Source organism: Homo sapiens, chromosome 14 (assembly GCF_000001405.40).
Source record: "Homo sapiens chromosome 14, GRCh38.p14 Primary Assembly".
Taxonomy (NCBI): domain Eukaryota; kingdom Metazoa; phylum Chordata; class Mammalia; order Primates; family Hominidae; genus Homo; species Homo sapiens.
This window is the reverse complement of record NC_000014.9, coordinates 101,970,439-101,987,672: the sequence shown is the minus strand read 5'-3', so window position 1 is coordinate 101,987,672 and position 17,234 is coordinate 101,970,439. Positions and strand designations below refer to the sequence as shown.

At 43.0% G+C, this 17,234-nt stretch overlaps 1 protein-coding gene across 1 annotated transcript in view, besides 2 other annotated features; it reads right to left on the bottom strand.

Moving 5' to 3' along the window:
- Positions 1-17,234, bottom strand: part of DYNC1H1 (dynein cytoplasmic 1 heavy chain 1) — a 91,871-nt gene that overhangs the window by 68,771 nt on the left and 5,866 nt on the right. Inside the window, exons 2-9 of the mRNA NM_001376.5 lie at positions 11,874-11,961; positions 8,181-8,354; positions 7,699-7,954; positions 7,123-7,309; positions 4,383-4,654; positions 4,064-4,291; positions 910-1,986; positions 41-220 (exon numbers count right to left, since the gene is read on the bottom strand). Coding sequence (NP_001367.2) covers positions 41-220; positions 910-1,986; positions 4,064-4,291; positions 4,383-4,654; positions 7,123-7,309; positions 7,699-7,954; positions 8,181-8,354; positions 11,874-11,961 — 2,462 coding nt within the window. The remainder of the gene's footprint in view (positions 1-40; positions 221-909; positions 1,987-4,063; positions 4,292-4,382; positions 4,655-7,122; positions 7,310-7,698; positions 7,955-8,180; positions 8,355-11,873; positions 11,962-17,234) is intronic.
- Positions 6,564-6,613: an enhancer, noted in NCBI's record as "active region_9062". NCBI's record gives its function as "activates an Ori minimal core promoter by ATAC-STARR-seq in GM12878 lymphoblastoid cells {active_cell/tissue: GM12878}" and the evidence as "EXISTENCE:reporter gene assay evidence [ECO:0000049][PMID:35858748]".
- Positions 16,558-17,058: an enhancer, noted in NCBI's record as "H3K4me1 hESC enhancer chr14:102436952-102437452 (GRCh37/hg19 assembly coordinates)". NCBI's record gives its function as "activates a minimal SCP1, AML or CMV promoter by ChIP-STARR-seq in naive H9 embryonic stem cells {active_cell/tissue: H9 hESC(naive)}" and the evidence as "EXISTENCE:reporter gene assay evidence [ECO:0000049][PMID:30033119]".

Here is a 17,234-nt window from a genome sequence, read left to right as displayed (position 1 = left end):
AAGAAAAAGGAGGAAAATGCTAGCAAATTCTATCCCTTACCTCCATGTCAAGCTTGTTGACCCAGATGGGCAAATTGGAATAGGAGTGCAGATTTAAGTCATCCACTGCTTTCTGGACTCTGTTCAAGATTTCCGAGAATGTCTTATGGTCATACATACAAGTTTCCAAGGAACGGACTTCTAGGTCTATTTTTTCTTCAATGATCAGCAGATCATCCACCTGAAGGAAGAAATATTTAATATTTAAAACACCCACTCACACTCTGTTCCTTTATTCTCACATAACATTCTTCTCAAATATTATACATTGACAAATGCTCCAGGCACAGTTCTTCCATAAGTAGCTAATCCTAGCTGCTGGGGTGAGAACACTAATCCCCACTCGCATGTCCTTGCAGAGGAAAGGAAAATGCATGGAGCCTCCCCAGCTTCTCTTCCCTTACTCCCACTCAATGGGAGAGGTGGCCTCTGATGGGTAAATCTGGGAGAAGGAAGTAAACGTGCTCTGTTAAGCTCCTCCTGTGCCTGGGGAGCCAGCCTCGCTGTCGTATGCATCTGGTCCGCTGGCAGCCGCAGGCTCTGGGTAAGGCCTTCGTGGCTGAGACCTAGAGCCTGCTCTGCTTTCAGCTGTAGCAGCAATAAAACTGCATTCTGCTCTCTGTTGGACTCCTGTGTCCTTTAGCTCTCCACCTGTTTCTAAACTCAGGTTGTTACTTAATGGCCTCCCTAAAACCCAGCACCATTAAATAGCCCGGTGAGTACAAAGGGTCCTCCTCCCTTGCAGCTCACATGGCCGTATGCTGCATCAACCATGCATGCCTTCTTCGGGAGAACTAGTGTTTTAACTGAGCTCGCTATTACTGTGCTTCATTCGTTACCAGGACACCTGAGGATTACATGAGAGCATACCTTTTCTTGGAAGTTGAAGACAGTCTCTGCTAAGCGCTGTACATATGGGTCAAGTTTGTAGGACTCCCACACCAACGCAATGCCTTCTGCGATCAGGGCCTGCACTTCCTTTTTCAAGCCAGCCACCAAAAGGGAAATGGTGTTCCGCTCCTCCACCTTCTCGCAGGTCCGTTCATAGGTACGAACGCTCTCGATCAGTGAGATGGCAAACGGGTAAAGCTGGTTTGCTTGATGGGCTTTGTTCACAATCGCCAGTGGGACGCGGAAACCAAGCCATTTGAGGTTCCGGACTTCTTTGGATAGTGTGATAATCTCAGGAAGAAAGTTAACTTTCAGCTTAAGCACATTTCCAGTTCGGCCCCGAACCCGAGTACTTTCGATGGTGAAAATGCGCCCCGAGACACCGAGGTTGCGCTGCTGCACCTTCCTTGCCCAGTCATCAAAGATCTCCTGCGTGTTGAGCTTCATGCGGAAGCTGTCTCCATCCTGCTTCAGCTTCTGCCCCTCCACGTGATTCTCCCAGCCCTTGCCAAGGACATCTTCCACCCGCTTCATGTAGGCCGTCAGCTGCCTGTCGATCTGTTTAGCCCAGATGATAGACCCTGACACAGGGGGCAAGTCACGAACGTGACTCATCTTACAAGCCTGACTCTGTGGGTACTGGACCTTGAACTTGTCGTGAAGAGACTCAATGTCATCTTTCACGCGCTGGATCAGCTGGGTCTGGTATTCGCGAATGGCCCCACGGATGTGAGGCCTGACAAACAGTGCATTAAACCTGGAGAAAATCCTAAACATCTCGTTGGCATTCTTGGCTGTGCCAAGCTGATCCCGAAGGCGAGCGGTGATCCGGGTCTCCACTCTGTCGATCCTCTCATCGTACCTCTTCATAGCAGCCTCCCAGGCTTCCGTGCCCTCTTTGGAAACATCCAGTCCATCCACTTCCTTGACGTTCTCATAAGCAAGGTTTACTTCCTCAATGGCATTTGCATCTGCAGCATCAAAGAGAACCTCAGCCACTTTCATATCTTGGGGTTCAGGGACCTCTCCTTGATTCTGTTGTGCAACTGCCGTGACCTAAAGGAGAAAGATATGTAATCAAGAAATGCTGACCAAACGAAGGCTTTAAAATTTATTTTAAGCCGGGTGCAGTGGCTCACACCTGTAATCCCAGCACTTTGGGAGGCCAAGGCAGGCGGATCATGAGGTCAGGAGTTCGAGACCAGCCTGGCCAACATGGTGAAACCCAGTCTCTACTAAAAATACAAACAATTTGCCAGGCATGGTGGTGCATGCCTGTATTCCCAGCTACTTGGGAAGTTGAGACAGGAGAATCGCTTGAACCCGGGAGGCAGAGGTTGCAGTGAGCCAAGATCACGCCACTGCACTCCAGCCTGGGCGACACAGCAAGACTCCATCTCAAAAAACAAAAAAGAAGAATGAAAGATAAATTCAGAAGAGAAAAAAATATATATAAAGAAATTAGTCATTTAATTGTTTTATAAATCTCAGGCATATGTAATTACTATCCATGTTTTACAGAGAAGGACTCTCTGAAAAAGAGACTAAATAAAGCATTCCAGTCACAGAGCTAGTAAACGATGGAATTAGGATTTAAAACCCAGGAAGTCTGGCTCTAGGGTCCTTCCAAGATGGAGGAAGGGATAAATGGATGGAAAACACTAAAGATTTGGATGGGCTGGGCATGGTAATCCCAGCACTTCGGGAGGCCGGGGCGGGTGGATCACTTGCGGTCAGGAGCTCGAGACCAGCCTGGCCAACATGGTGAAACCCTATTTCTTTTCCTTTTTTTTTTTTTTTTTTTTTTTTTGAGACGGAGCCTCCCTCTGTTGCCCAGGCTGGAATGCAGTGGCGCGATCTCGGCTCACTGCAAGCTCCGTCTCCTGGGTTCACGCCATTCTCCTGCCTCAGCCTCCCGAGTAGCTGGGACTACAGGCACCTGCCACCACGCCCAGCTAATTTTTTTGTATTTTCAGTAGAGATGGGGTTTCACCGTGTTAGCCAGGATAGTCTCAATCTTCTGACCTCGTGATCCGCCTGCCTCGGCATCCCAAAGTGCTGGGATTACAGGCGTGAGCCACCGCGCCCGGCCGGTGAATCCCTATTTCTACTAAAAATACAAAAATTAGCTGGGTGTGGTGGCTGGCGCCTGTAATTCCGGCTACTCGGAGGCTGAGGCAGAATTGCTTGAACCCCAGAGGCAGAGGTTGCAGTGACCTGAGATCATGCCACTGCACTCCAGCCTGGGTGACAGACTGAGACTCAGTCTCAAAAAAAAAAAAAAAAAAAAAATATAATATATATATATATACACACACACACACACACACACACACACACATATATACGCATATATATATACACACACACACACAATACAGAATCACTAGATCTTAAAGACAACAGAAAGAAGTAGTTAAGTTTTCAAAAAACACATTAAAACAATGCATACGGGCAGGGCGCGGTGGCTCATGCCTATAATCCCAGCACTTTGGGAGGCTGAGGTGGGCGGATCATTTGAGCTCAGGAGTTCGAGAATAGCCTGGGCAACATGGTGAGACCCCTCCTCTACAGCCCCCTCCCGCCAACACACACACACACAAATAAATTAGCTGGGCATGGTGGGGTGCGCCTATAGTCCCAGCTACTCAGGAAGCTGAGGTAGGAGGACTGCTTGAGCCCGGGAGGCGAAGGCTGCAGTGAGCCAAGATCACTTCACTGTACTCCAGCCTAGGTAACAGAATGAGACTGTCTCAAACAAAAACAGGCTGGGCATGCTGTCTCACGTCTATAATCCCGGCACTTTGGGAGGCCGAGGCAGGTGGAACACTTGAAGGCCAGTTCAAAACCAGCCTGGCCAACATGGTAAAAGCCTGTCTCTACTCAAAATATAAACAATTAGCCGGGCGTGGTGGCAGGCACCTGTAATCCCAGCTACTCGAGAGGCTGAGGCAGGAGAATCGCTTGAACCCAGAAGGCGGAGGTTGCAGTGAGCCAAGATCATGCCATTGCACTCCAGCCTGGGCAACAAGAGTGAAACTTCATCTCAACAACAACAACAAAAAAAAAACACCAAACAAAAAACAAAACAAAAACAAAAACAAAACACAAACTTTTAGAATGCAAATCTTACCTGTGGCCTCAGGACCCTGACGATAACAGCTCTTAGCTGTTCATGCTGGCGTCTAAATTTTCTCATCTGGTCAAGGCGGGCCTGCAGCTTCCTGTGGGCAGGGTTGATACGCCACACCATCTTCAGATTTTCTTCCCTTTTTCTTTTGACGATGTCTCTCAACAATACCTGAAGTTTCTCATACTCATCATCCCAAGTCTGAAAAACTTCAAAGCATGCTACCATAACCTAGGATATAATTTCAAAAGTGAGGCTTATTATTAAGACATATTTTCATCTCAATGTCTTGAGGTTGGTTGTCTTATATATTCAAACTTACTTTTTCAAATTCTTCATAAGCAACATGCATCAATTTCCTAGTGCCCAATACTTTGAGTAATTGAGAACTCAAGTCTCTTGAAATTGCCTCCACCAAACGCAGTGCCCTCTGAATAGGATATTTTGTGTTTCGGATCTTTCTCAAATGTGTGAAAATGGCAACAAGCGCCTGTCTTATTTTGTCCAGCTCCGTGGCAGACAGCAAATCATTCAGAGGGAAATCTTTCATCAGAGGATTGTAGTCATTCACAGTTTCCAAAGCCTGTTTTAGACCTATATTAACAGAGAAAGAGTTAATGGTTTTCACATAAAGTAACAAAACTAAGTAAACTAAAATATGCCATTACAATGGAACATTTTGATGTTGCAAAATATCTAGCGAGACAAAAACTATTCATATTTGAAAAAACAACACGTTATTAACAGGATAACCCTAGTGGCGCTCCATTTTTGCTTATTTAAGAGTATGAGTCAATTCCTACATACTCTAAAGGCTGAAGGTGGCAGCCTCAGAGAATTTACCATGCTTTGCTTTGCTTTCTATATCAGTGGCCCTCAACATTTTTGGCAACAGGGACCAGTTTCGTGGAAGACGATTTTTCCACAGATGGTTGGGGGGTGGTGGGGGGGTGGGTAGTTTCTAGGTGATTCGAGCACATTACATTTATTGTGCACTTTATTTCTATTATTTTATTTTTTTGAGACGGAGTTTTGCTCTGTCGCCCAAGCTGGAGTGCAGTGGGGTGATCTCGGCTCACTGCAACCTCCACCTCCCAGGTTCAAGCGATTCTCCTGCCTCAGCCTCCCAAGCAGCTGGGACTACAGGCGCCTGCCACCACGCCCGGCTAATTTTTTGTATTTTTACAAACACGGGGTTTCACCATGTTAGCCAGGATGGTCTCCATCTCCTGACCTCGTGATCTGCCCGCCTAGGCCTCCCAAAGTGCTAGGATTACAGGTGTGAGCCACCGCACCCAGCCTATTTCTATTATTATTATTACATACTCACCATAATGTAGAATCTGTGGGAGCCCTGAGCTTGTTTTCCTGCAACTAGGAGGTCCCATCTGAGGGTGATGTAATGGGAGATGGTGGACAGATCATCAGGCATTAGATTCTCATAAGGAGTGCACAATCTACATCCCTCGCGTGCGCAGTTCACAACAGGGTTTGCGCCCCTATGAGAATCTAATGCCGCCACTCATGTGACGGGGGCAGAGCTCAGGCAGTAATGCTCACTCGCCGCTGCTGGCCTCCTTCTGCACAGCCTGGTTCCCAACAGGCCGCGGACCAGTACCAGTCTGGGGGTTGGGGACCCCTGTTCTATATTATTTTAACGTTTATTAGTAACAATTAAGTTTAGAAGAACTAAAATTTTATCCTTGAAAACATTAAAATTTAAGTTTTACATTCATGGCTTAATTTAGGTGAACATATTACTAACTAAGGACATGGAATCACGAAAGTGCTTGGATCCTAATCTATTTATTGACTTTCTTTGGCATAAGATCAAAAAAAGTATTAGGAAAAAAACAAAAGTTTCAGAGGTGTTAAAAAAATCAAAGTATACATTTCAGCATAGTGAATGCGCATGTAATGTGTGCAATGTGATCTAAGTAACCGGAAGGTTTCTACTTACAATTTTCTCTAACATTTAAGATGTGGGTACCATACGTTTTTTGGGGGAAGTGAGAACATGACAACTGCTATTGTCTTAATTACTTGTTCTAACATGTCTTTTGTGAGCACAGAGTTGAACAGAAATGCCTAATAATGCCTCGTGTTCAAACATTGTAGACCTAGTACGTGCTAATGCAGCTCAGTCAAGTTACAAAGTTTTTAAAAGAATTTAAAAATAATTGTAATAATGACTGTGAGTGGTAGCTCACACCTGTAATCCTAGCACTTTGGGAGGCCAAGGCAGGAGGATTGCTTGAGACTAGGAGTTTGATACCAGCATGGGCAACGTGGCAAGTCCCCATTTCTACAAAAATTCAAAAATTAGTTGGACATGGTGGTACATCCCTGTAGTCCCAGCTACTTGGGTGGCTGAGGTGAGAGGATGGCTTGAGCCTGGGAACTCCAGGCAGCAGTGAGCTATGATTATGCCACCACATTCCAGCCTGGGAAACAAAGTGAGATCCCATCTCTTAAAAAAAATAAATTTTAAAAATTTTAAAAAGAAAAAAACAAAACAAAACAAAACAAAAAACAACATCACTGGCACTGTTCTCCACTCAGAAAACTAAATTCATTTTGGCCACTTGTCAGAATAGGGAGGAAGACAAAGAAGAGAAAGGGGCAAGTAAAAAGAGGAAGAGAAAGTGGTACTGACCAGTTCTTTTTCCACAACCCTCTGGGCAAATAGAACTGCTTCACTTAAACCACCTTCTTGCCTGGCCTGTCAAAAGCATACCTGACTTTGTGCCAATTGTACAGCCGACTCGTGGAGATGACTCATGGAGCCCAGCAGTGGGGAAACAAGAAGGAATCTGTGCTCATACCTAGAGACTGTTTCATGTTCTTAAATCCCCTGAAGGGAAAGGGGAAAGCTAAGTGTGTAGGAGAATAATTTTCATTACTTGGAACTGAGGGAAAGATAAGATGTGATGTAAGAAAGGAAATGGTTAAAAACGACAGTACATCTGTGAAAACTATAGTTTTCATTTAAATTATCAAGTAAGATCTCGTAAAAGCCAGATCAATAACTTACTGATCAGATTATTAGTTCTAGTTGTTACCTGTGTCAGTGTCAAAACTGACGGTGGCATGGAAGCGCTTGCCATGTTTCAAGATATCCAGAGTCAGGAGAACTTCCGGGCTCTCCCGTTTCTCCTGGATGCGGTATAACGCACGTTCCAAGTTTAGCCAAAAACTAATTTCCTGTAAGGCAGTTCCTGATGCAGGATCTCGATCCAGTTTGGTCACCTTTGAAAATAAAATAACACCCAAGGGTATTCACTATTTAAACAAGGTAGAATAGATATCGTTAACAAAACACATGCATTACAACTCAATTTTTATATTTCAAGTAGATTTCCTTCCCTGTAAATCAAAAGTGGCTTGATTTGAAATCAAAGGTATACGACTGCTGAGATTAATGCTCTATCAGGGTGACTACTCAAGCAATCTCACACTGTCCCCTGACCATTCCACCCAGACCAAGGCTAGTCCTGCACTGGACAGTCCCAGGACCAAGAGGCGGCACCACTAACAAGTTATCACATAATTTACCTCACTTACAAAATCCAGATCAGTTTTCCCAAAGATATTAAAGAGTAACATATTTTACATAACTTTCAATCCTGTGCTCTTACTTTTTGAATTTCTCGGATCCAGCGGTTAACTCCAGATTGTAACTGATTAAGAAATGTTGGGTCTTCAACCTTATCACCAAAGTCTGTAACTTTTGGCTTTTCTCCACGCTCATAACACTGTTTTGCAACATTTGTGATCATTGGATGAATCGGCAGGCTGATCTCCGGAATTTCAATATTTTGCTGCAAGTGAAGGAGTCCCATTTCGAGTTCTGCAATCTTCTTTTCAACTGAAGGAGCCATTTTATCACCATCCCTAAAAACAGATTTCATACCTCAACATTTAGTGTGCTATTGGTCTCCAAAGAGATCCCATCATTTCAGGTCTGTCAAATAGTAATGACACACATATTTATTAATACACAGGGTTTATATCCCCTCGGCTCACTAGCGTTACCCTCCCAATTCCCAAGTTTTACACCGAGTTCTATACTATCTTGTGAACATTAAGTGAAATATAACATTCAAACCACAGTTTTTACCTGTCTGCCTTGCCAGACTCTCTAATGTAGGACTTAAAAAAAGGAGCCACTGCATTGCTAATGAAAGAATGCAAAGTTTCGTAGGGCGAGTCTTCACTGAGTGTAAGGACCCGGAGCTGAGAAGACACGGGTTTATCTGCATCAATCACGGGAGTACGTTTAATGAATGCCAAGCTAAAAAGAAAAATAAAACAAGAAATTAGAAAAGTTACACTCCTAATTAGGCTTATTAATTTAAAAATCATACAAGAATATACTGAAGTGTTGCTTTTCTAATAGTGAAATGCACTGCTTGTCTTTCTTTAGTACATGAGAGCTACTGAATCAAGGTTATGGTTACAGAATGTGAACAAACATGAAACCAGGCAAAGTTAACTTGTCTCATACATGGGTTGAATTCGTAATATTGGCCTAAAACTAACCTGCCCTAGAAATATAAGTAGTACTTAAATCTGATCTTACACTAATGTGTAACATTTATTTACTGTACTAAGTAAACAAAAGTTGCTCACTGGTTAAGGTGATAAGAGGCCATTCCAGGCTCCCCTTAGTCTGGTCCTACTCAGCTTTTCCTGTTTCACCTCCTGCTATGTATCCTCTTTCCCACCCTGAGACACCACTTAGACCAGATGTCCCATTCCCTAAACACATCACGTGCTTTGTGCCTTTGCTTAAGAAATCTATATTGATCTGCTGAAATTCTAACCCTCATAACTCAATTCCAGTGTGACCTCTTCTGTGGGCTTCCCCTAATCAGAAGCAATCTCTCCAGTCTTCATGTTTCCATTGTATTTTGACAAGTATTACAATTAGTTATGTATCTGCCAATCTTTCTCCCAAAGACAAGCTTCTTGGGAACAGGAAGCAGGTTTTATTTCTTTGTGTACTACTCTATATACCTACTGCCACACCTTGCACACAACAGGCACTCAAAGTTGGTTAAATTAATGCCTTCAAGGTAATTAATAAAATTTGAATTTTCTAATTCCCTTGCCAGTACTTTATACACAATACTTCATACGCCAGGCATGGTGGTTCACGCCTGTAATCCCAGTACTTTGGGAGGCTAAGGTGAGTAGATCCCTTGAGGTCAGGAGTTCGAGACCAGCCTGGCCAACATGGCGAAACCACATCTCTACTAAAGATACAAAAATTAGGCCGGGCACAGTAGCTCACACCTGCAATCCCAGCACTTTGGGAGGCCGAGGCAGGCGGATAACTTCAAAAAGTTATTCAAAAACTTCAAAACCCCATCTCTACTAAAAATACAAGAATTAGCTGGGCATGGTGGCACATGCCTGTAATCACAGCTACTCGGGAGGTTGATGGAGAATCACTTGAGTCCAGGAGGCAGAGGTTGCAGTGAGCCGAGATCGCACCACTGCACTCCAGACTGGGCGACAGAGCGAGACTTCGTCTCAAGAAGAAAGAAAAAAAAATTAGCCAGGTGTGGTGGCAGGTGCCTGTAATCCCAACTATTCAGGAGGCTGAGGCAGGAGGATCGCTTGAGCCTGGGAGGCAGAGGCTGCAGTGAGCTAAGATTGCCCCACTGCACTCCAGCTTGGACGGCAGAGTGAGACTCCATCTCAAAATAAACAAACAACCCAAAAAACTTCATATAACTGTAAAGTCAATGAAACTTTCTGATGTAACACATTGAGAAAGAATGAAGTCACAATAGTATTTCTGCCAAAATCGTATAACCTGAATCTAAACATCAGGCAAACCCAACAGTTCCATGAAGCTATTGGTGTGCAAATGTCAAACAAGTCAGTGTCACAAAAGGTACACAAAGGCTGAAGTACTACTCCAGATTAAAGGAATTTAGAGTGACAAGAAACCAAAGTGTGATTCTGGACTGGACTCTGAATTAGGGGAAAATTAGTATAAGGGACATCATTGAGACAATTTCAACATGTACTATAATTAGAGAACAATACTGCAGCAATCTTACACTTCTTGAATTTGATCATTGTACTGAGGCTACGAATGAGAATGTCCTTGTTCTTAGGAAATACACACAAGTATTTAGGGATAAAGGAGCATATTGTCTATAACTAACTGTCAAATGATTCAGGGGAAAAATGATAATGCAAAAGTGGCAAACATTAACAACTGATATCTGGGAGTTCTATATACTATTCACGCAACTCTTCCGTAACCTGAGATTACTCAAAATAAGCTTAAAAAAATGCGGAATCCATTATGACATTTACATATTTAAATTTGGATATGTCTACTAGGATAAATTAGCACAATCTTTCTGAAAAGTGGAAAATCTGGTAACATGCATTAAAAATTTTAATGATGTTTTGCATGTGAACTAGTAATGCTATCTTTAGAATTTATCCTAAAAAGAATCAAACCTGCATATAGAATGTTTACTAGTTATCTGTAATAATGAAAAATCAGATATCCAGTTGTCCCTTGGTATCTGTGGGAAATTGATTCCAGGACTCCCCTGGAACACCAAAATCCGCAAACGTTAACTTGCTTATATAAAATGGCACAGTATTTGCATATAACCTATGCACATCCTCCAGCATACTTTAAATAATCTCCAGATTACTTATAATCCCTAACACAACATAAACAATACATAAATAGTTGTTATACTGGCTGTTTTTTACTTGCTTTCTTTGTTATTTTTGTATTGTATGTATTGCTTTTTTCCCGCAAATATTTTCTATCTGTGGTTGGTTGAATCTGCAGATGTGGAACCACAGATATCGAGGGCTGACTGTAACCTGAGAGTAGCATCAGACATGTTACATATATTACAGCTCAAACAGAAGATAGATGCCATGATATGGCAACTAAAAGGACAGTATTTTAGAATTTATATTGAATTGGAAAACTTCCTAATTTGAAGACATGAAATCAAAGACACTGAATTTAAAGACCAGAAATCTTTTGAGCGTTTTCTTTTCCTTTTTTTTTTTTCTTTTTTGAGACAGAGTTTCGCTCTTGTTGCCAAGGCTGGAGTGCAATGGCACAATCTCGGCTCACTGCAACCTCTGCCTCCCGGGTTCAAGCTATTCAACTGCCTCAGCCTCCCAAGTAGCTGGGATTACAGGCATGCACCACCACGCCTGGCTAATTTTGTATTTTTAGTAGAGACAGGGTTTCTCCATGTTGGTCAGGGTGGTCTCAAACTCCCAACTTCACGTGATCTGCCCACCTCAGCCTCCCAAAGTGCTGGGATTACAGGCGTGAGCCACCGTGCCGGGCTTGAGTGTTTTCTTAATGTGTTTGTCTGAGTCAATTAAGATTGATATTAATTTTAGGCTGGGCACGGTGGCTCACGTCTGTAATCCTAGCACTTTGGGAGGCTGAGGCGGGTGGATCTCCTGAGGTCAGGAGTTCGAGACCAGCCTGACCAACACGGAGAAACCCTGTCTCTACTAAAAATACAGAATTAGCCAGGCGTGGCGGTGCATGTCTGCAATCCCAGCTACCTGGAAGGCTGAGGCAGGAGAATTGCTTGAACCCGGGAGGCAGAGGGTGCAGTGAGCCGAGATCGCGCCATTGTACTCCAGCCTGGGCAACAAGAGCGAAACTCCGTCTCAAAAAAAAAAAAAAGATTTATATTAATTCTCTTAGTAAGAATTTCTGAGTTTGAAAAGAAAAAAGATTCATATTAATTCTCACAAATTTATAACCTGAGATAATGGTAATATTTGTACTACTCACCTATTGGATTTAACCCCATAATGAATGTCTATGTTGATGTTATAGGAAATGAATTCTTTTTCTTCTTCTCCTTCATCACCGACGTCCTCTACAAATCATAATAAATATATCAAATTAATATCAACATTTCCAATTTCTTATTTATCAACTGCTTAGACAATGACTATTTTCTCCCTACTCCCAGCCTGACATATCGACACCTACATGACTTGGCACTATTTTTCCCTTCCTATCCGTTTTTTTCCTCACTCCTGACTTTGCTGTGTGACTTTGGGCAAGGCGGTTGTCTGTGAAGTGGGGTAGCGTGAGCATGCCAGGGCTTCTGCAAGGATAACTGAGTTGGTGCATGAAAGCACTGGAACAGGGCCTGGCGGTGGGCAGTGCTAGCCGCTGCTGGCTATGGCCAAGTTCTCAGCATCCCATCCCAGGAAGCTCATTCATTGTGCTTCAAACACAGAAGTCACTTTCCACCCCTGCTCTCAAGAATATTCTGCTCAGCCGTTCACTCAGCAACACCTGTGTGATAGGCATTTTACTAAGCACTTTACAGCTATCATACATTTAACCCTATGGGGTTGGTGTGACTATTATTATCCTTGTTTTCTCCATAAAGAATATCAGTAACTTGCCCACAGATACTTGGGTGGGAAGCAACAATGTGAGAATTCAGAAGTTTGTGATTCCGAAGTCCAGGCTCCTCACCACAATGTAGCATGGCCAGTTTTCATCAAGGCCAGGCCCAAGACAAACCCCAATCAAGAAAAGTATCAAGAAACATCCCAAGGGTCACTGAGAAGCATTCGTCTAGCCTTGCCCTCTGCTGCGCCACACCACTTATCTGAGTCTGTTCTGGGTTTGACTTATGAATGTATCTTCCTCCCCGGCTGTGAGCTCTTGGAAGGCAGAGACCACGCTAGATTCCACGCAATACAACATGCACACAGTAGTCACTTTCAAAAGCTTACGGAGGCCGGGCTGGTGGCTTACGTCAGTAATCCCAGCACTTTGGGAGGCTGAGGTGTGGACCACTTCAGCTCAGGAGTATGAGACTAGTCTGGGCAACATGGTGAAACCATGTCTCAATTTTTTAATAATAAAATTTAAGTTTAAAAAAGCTTACTGGAAATTAATAGTAAGGTAGCCTCAAGAAGCATGTGAACCAAATTTCTAAATTAAAAATCAAGATTGAAGAACTAAAAAAAGTATAAGAATAGAAAATAATCTAAACCTCTACATCTAGTACTAATCCATGCAATGCCTAAACATTCTAGTCAAATTATCTTTGCAATAACGTACTGTATGAAATATATGTTGGCAAAAATTACAATCTATGGATTAATTTAACATGATTATTTTATACATAGTTCACCTTTTAAAAGTCATGATGTAATAGAAAGGGAAGGCTGGGCGTGATGGCGCATGCCTGCAATCCCAGCACTTTGGGAGGCCAAGGCAGGTGGATCACCTGAGGTAGAGAGTTCGAGACCAGCCTGACAAACAAGGAGAAACCCCGTCTCTGCTAAAAATACAAAATTAGCCAGGCATGGTGGCGCATGCCTGTAATTCCAGCTACTCGGGAAGCTGAGGCAGGCGAATCGCTTGAACCCAGGAGGCGGAGGTTGTGGTGAGTTGAGATCACGCCATTGCACTCCAGCCTGGGCAACAAGAGTGAAACTCCATCTCAAAAAAAATAAATAAATAAATAAAGGAAAGGGCAGTAGTTTCAACAGTTCAAGTTCTATTGCTTAGAAGATATGTGACCTTGAGAAAGTCATTTTTCTTTCTCTGGGCTTCAAATTTGTAAGGTGTAAAATGGGTGGTGGAGCAGGCAGTAGAATATTGAGTTAGGTGGTTATAAGGTTTCATTAAGCACTAAAAACTATGAAACCTGGATACACAGGGTCTGAGCAAAAGCTATTTGCTTCCTTAGCTATTGTTTTAAAAATCTTGCTCCTTCTGTAAGCATTTTATTTTAATTAATTAATTTATTTATTTAGAGACAATGTCTTGCTCTGCCGCCCAGGCTGGAACGCAGTGGCTTCATCACACCTCACTGTAGTCTTGATCTTCTGGGTTCAAGAGATCCTCCTGCCTCAGCCTCCCAAAGAGCTGGGACCCCACGCTCATGCCACCACCTTCAGTGGATTTTTAAAACATTTTTTAGAGATGGGGTCTCTCTATGTTGCTCAGGCTGGTGTCAAACTCCTGGGGCTCAAGAGATCCTCATGCCTCGGCCTGGCACTACAGGCATGAGTCATTGCGCCCAACCCCTGCTTCCTTAGTTTTAAGATGAGACAAATACAAAATTCACACTAAAGAGTATAAAATATTAGTCTATCTGGCCAGGCGCGGTGGCTCATGCCTGTAATCTCAGCACTTTGGGAGGCCGAGGCGGGCAGATCACTTCAAGTCAGGAGTTCAATACCAGCCTGGCCAACATGGTGAAACCCTATACCTACTAAAAATTAAAAAAATTAGCTGGGTGTGGTGGTTGGCACCTGTAATTTCAGTTATTTGGGAGGTTGGGGTAAGAGAATTGCTTCAACCTGGGAGGTGGAGGTTGCAGTGAGCTGAGATTGATCTCAAAAAAAAAAAAAAAATTAGTGTATCTATCGAGAGACAATAATTCTTCCAAATTATTGTTTTGGGTATATTTGGATATAATTTTAGGAAGAGGAAGGAGTAGGCGGCAGAACATTCTAGTATGCCAGATACTTGCTATTTTTTAAAACGACTATTAAAAAAACTAAAGAAAGCAACCAATTTTTCTAACCACTCAAATGTAGCTAGACCACAAGAGAAATCACACTGCCTGAAAGCAGCCACACACGATTACAACCTGTAAAATGTAAGCATAGAGAATAAAGAACTATCTCCAAACTGAAACAGCTGTCAAAGTACTGCGATGATTTTCTCCCTCAATTTTCTGAATTTTCCATATTGTTCTACCATTTATATAAAATATGCCATCAAAATAACACCGAAACAATATACAGAAAATAAAATTAACATTCTATAATGATCAAAGGAAATCACTGACGCAACTAAAAATATGGCTTGTTAACTCTGAATCATTTCTACCCCCCATAAAGAGTCATCATTGATACAAATAAAATCACACAGAAATTGCGCAGTCCGGACACAGCATATGAGCATGTGGCCTACACTTCCTAATGCAAACCGGGTTAGGGGAACTAGGTGCCATTCCAAGAGATGAGTCACCGCTGTGTGGTGAGCGCTCCAGCTCTGCCCTGGGAATACTGCAATGCAGTAGAATGCTGCTTCAGCTCAGGAAGGCACACCCAATGACATAATCCTCAAACAACGATAATGCAAATAGATATTCCCTGCTGCTTTGCTAAATTCTAACTTCTCTTGATAATAACTTATGGAAGTCACTACGAACCAGTCACAGAAAACATCTTGGACTAGTCTTTCTGTGCATATTCCCTATAAAGACACGGATCAAACACAGTTGAGTATGTCTGACTCCCATTTACAGTCACACAATTTAGGACACTGTTTCAAAAACTGCCATCAAATAATAATCTGACATTCTACTTTTCTTTCTTTTTTTTTTTTTTAAATAGTTGTCCAGAGGAGGAAGGACACTTGATTATTAATTCTTAATAACAAAGAGGCTATTAGCCCTGTTATATTTATAAGCTTACTACAAACACAATCTGCACGTTTGATTAAGTAATACCACTTTCAGTAAAATTTGAATCCATTTCCTTATGCTTGGCAAAGTTACTAGTTAATACAAAGTTACTGTTAAAATGTAACAGACCAATACTGTACTATATGTCCATGCATTCAAAGAATCAAAGTACTGGGCCTGCTTCATGAGTTCCTTCCCTGCAAGCTATACTGACACACATTACAACAACTTGTGAACACTTCCTTGGTTAACTTTTGAGAGTTTATTGAATTTCTAGAGATGTTCAAAATGGCATTTAGCACTAACGTGTGTATACTTTTATTCAAAGACTAGTTTAATGTATTTCAAACTACTAGTAATTTGTATCATTAAACTATGAATTAGGTAAGCATTACATCTGTTTTATTTTTTTTGAGACAGGATCTCACTCTGTCACCCAGGCTGGAGTGCAGTGGTGCAATCACAGCTCATTGCAGCCTTGACCTCTCTGGGCTCAAGTGATTCTCCTACCTCAGCCTCCTGAGTAGCTGGGATACAGTTGTGCATCACCATGCCTGGCTAACTTTTGTATTTTTGTAGAGACAAGGTTTCTCCATGTTGCCCAGGCTGGTCTTGAACTCCTGAGCTCAAGTGATCTGCCTGCCTCAGCCTCCCAAAGTGTTGGGATTACAGGCGTGAGCCACTGCACCCAGCCAGCATTATGGCTTGTTTAATGGAATACAAAAACTATGCAATTTCAATTACCTTAAAAACTATACCACCCTCGACTGGGCCCAGTGGCTCATGCCTGTAATCCCAGTACTTTGAGGGGCCAAGGTGGGTGGATCACTCGAGCTCAGGAGTTTGAGACCAGTCTGGGCAAGATGGTGAAACCCAATCTCTACAAAAAATACAAAAATTAGCAGAGCGTGGTGGTGCATGTCTGTGGCGGGAGGATCTCTTGAGCCCAGGAGACCGAGGCTGCAGTGAGCTGAGACTGCAGCGCTGCACTCCAGCCTGGGCGACAGAGCAAGACCCTGCCTCAAAAAAAAAAAAAAAAAAAAAAAAAAAAAAGAATGATACGGCCCTCTCCTGAGTAGACAGGGCATGCCCTCTCAAAGTCTGGTGAACGGGCAGTTGGAAAAGGGACAAAGCACACTGGTAAAGTGCCAGGTGAGGCTGCCCAACTCCTGCACCCTTGCTCATTCCCTCATGTACTCTTCCTTCCAAACTTTCTCCCAGCCATACAGCAAGTCTCTTCCTGGTCTCAAAGCCATTCATCTCCTTTGGCCCGCATACACTACCAAATTACGTGTTAAATGTTCCTGGGGTTCTCTTTATCTTTTGTCTTCTTTCCCTTTTAAAATCCCAAACATGGGCTGGGCACAGTGGCTCACGCCTGCAGTCCCAGCACTTTGGGAGGCTGAGGCGGGCGGATCACCTGAGGTCAGGAGTTTGAGACCAGCCTGGCCAACATGGTGAAACCCCATCTCTACTAAAAATACAAAAATTAGCTAGACGTGGTGGCACATGCCTGTAATCCCAGCTACTTAGGAGGCTGAGACAGGAGAATCACTTGAACCCAGGAGGCGGGGGTTGCAGTGAGCGGAGATCGTGCCACTGCACTCCAGCCTGGGTGACAGAGCAAGACGCCATCTCAAAAAAAAAAAAAAAAAAAAAAAAAAACAACAACAAACCAAACATACTAATACCACATTATT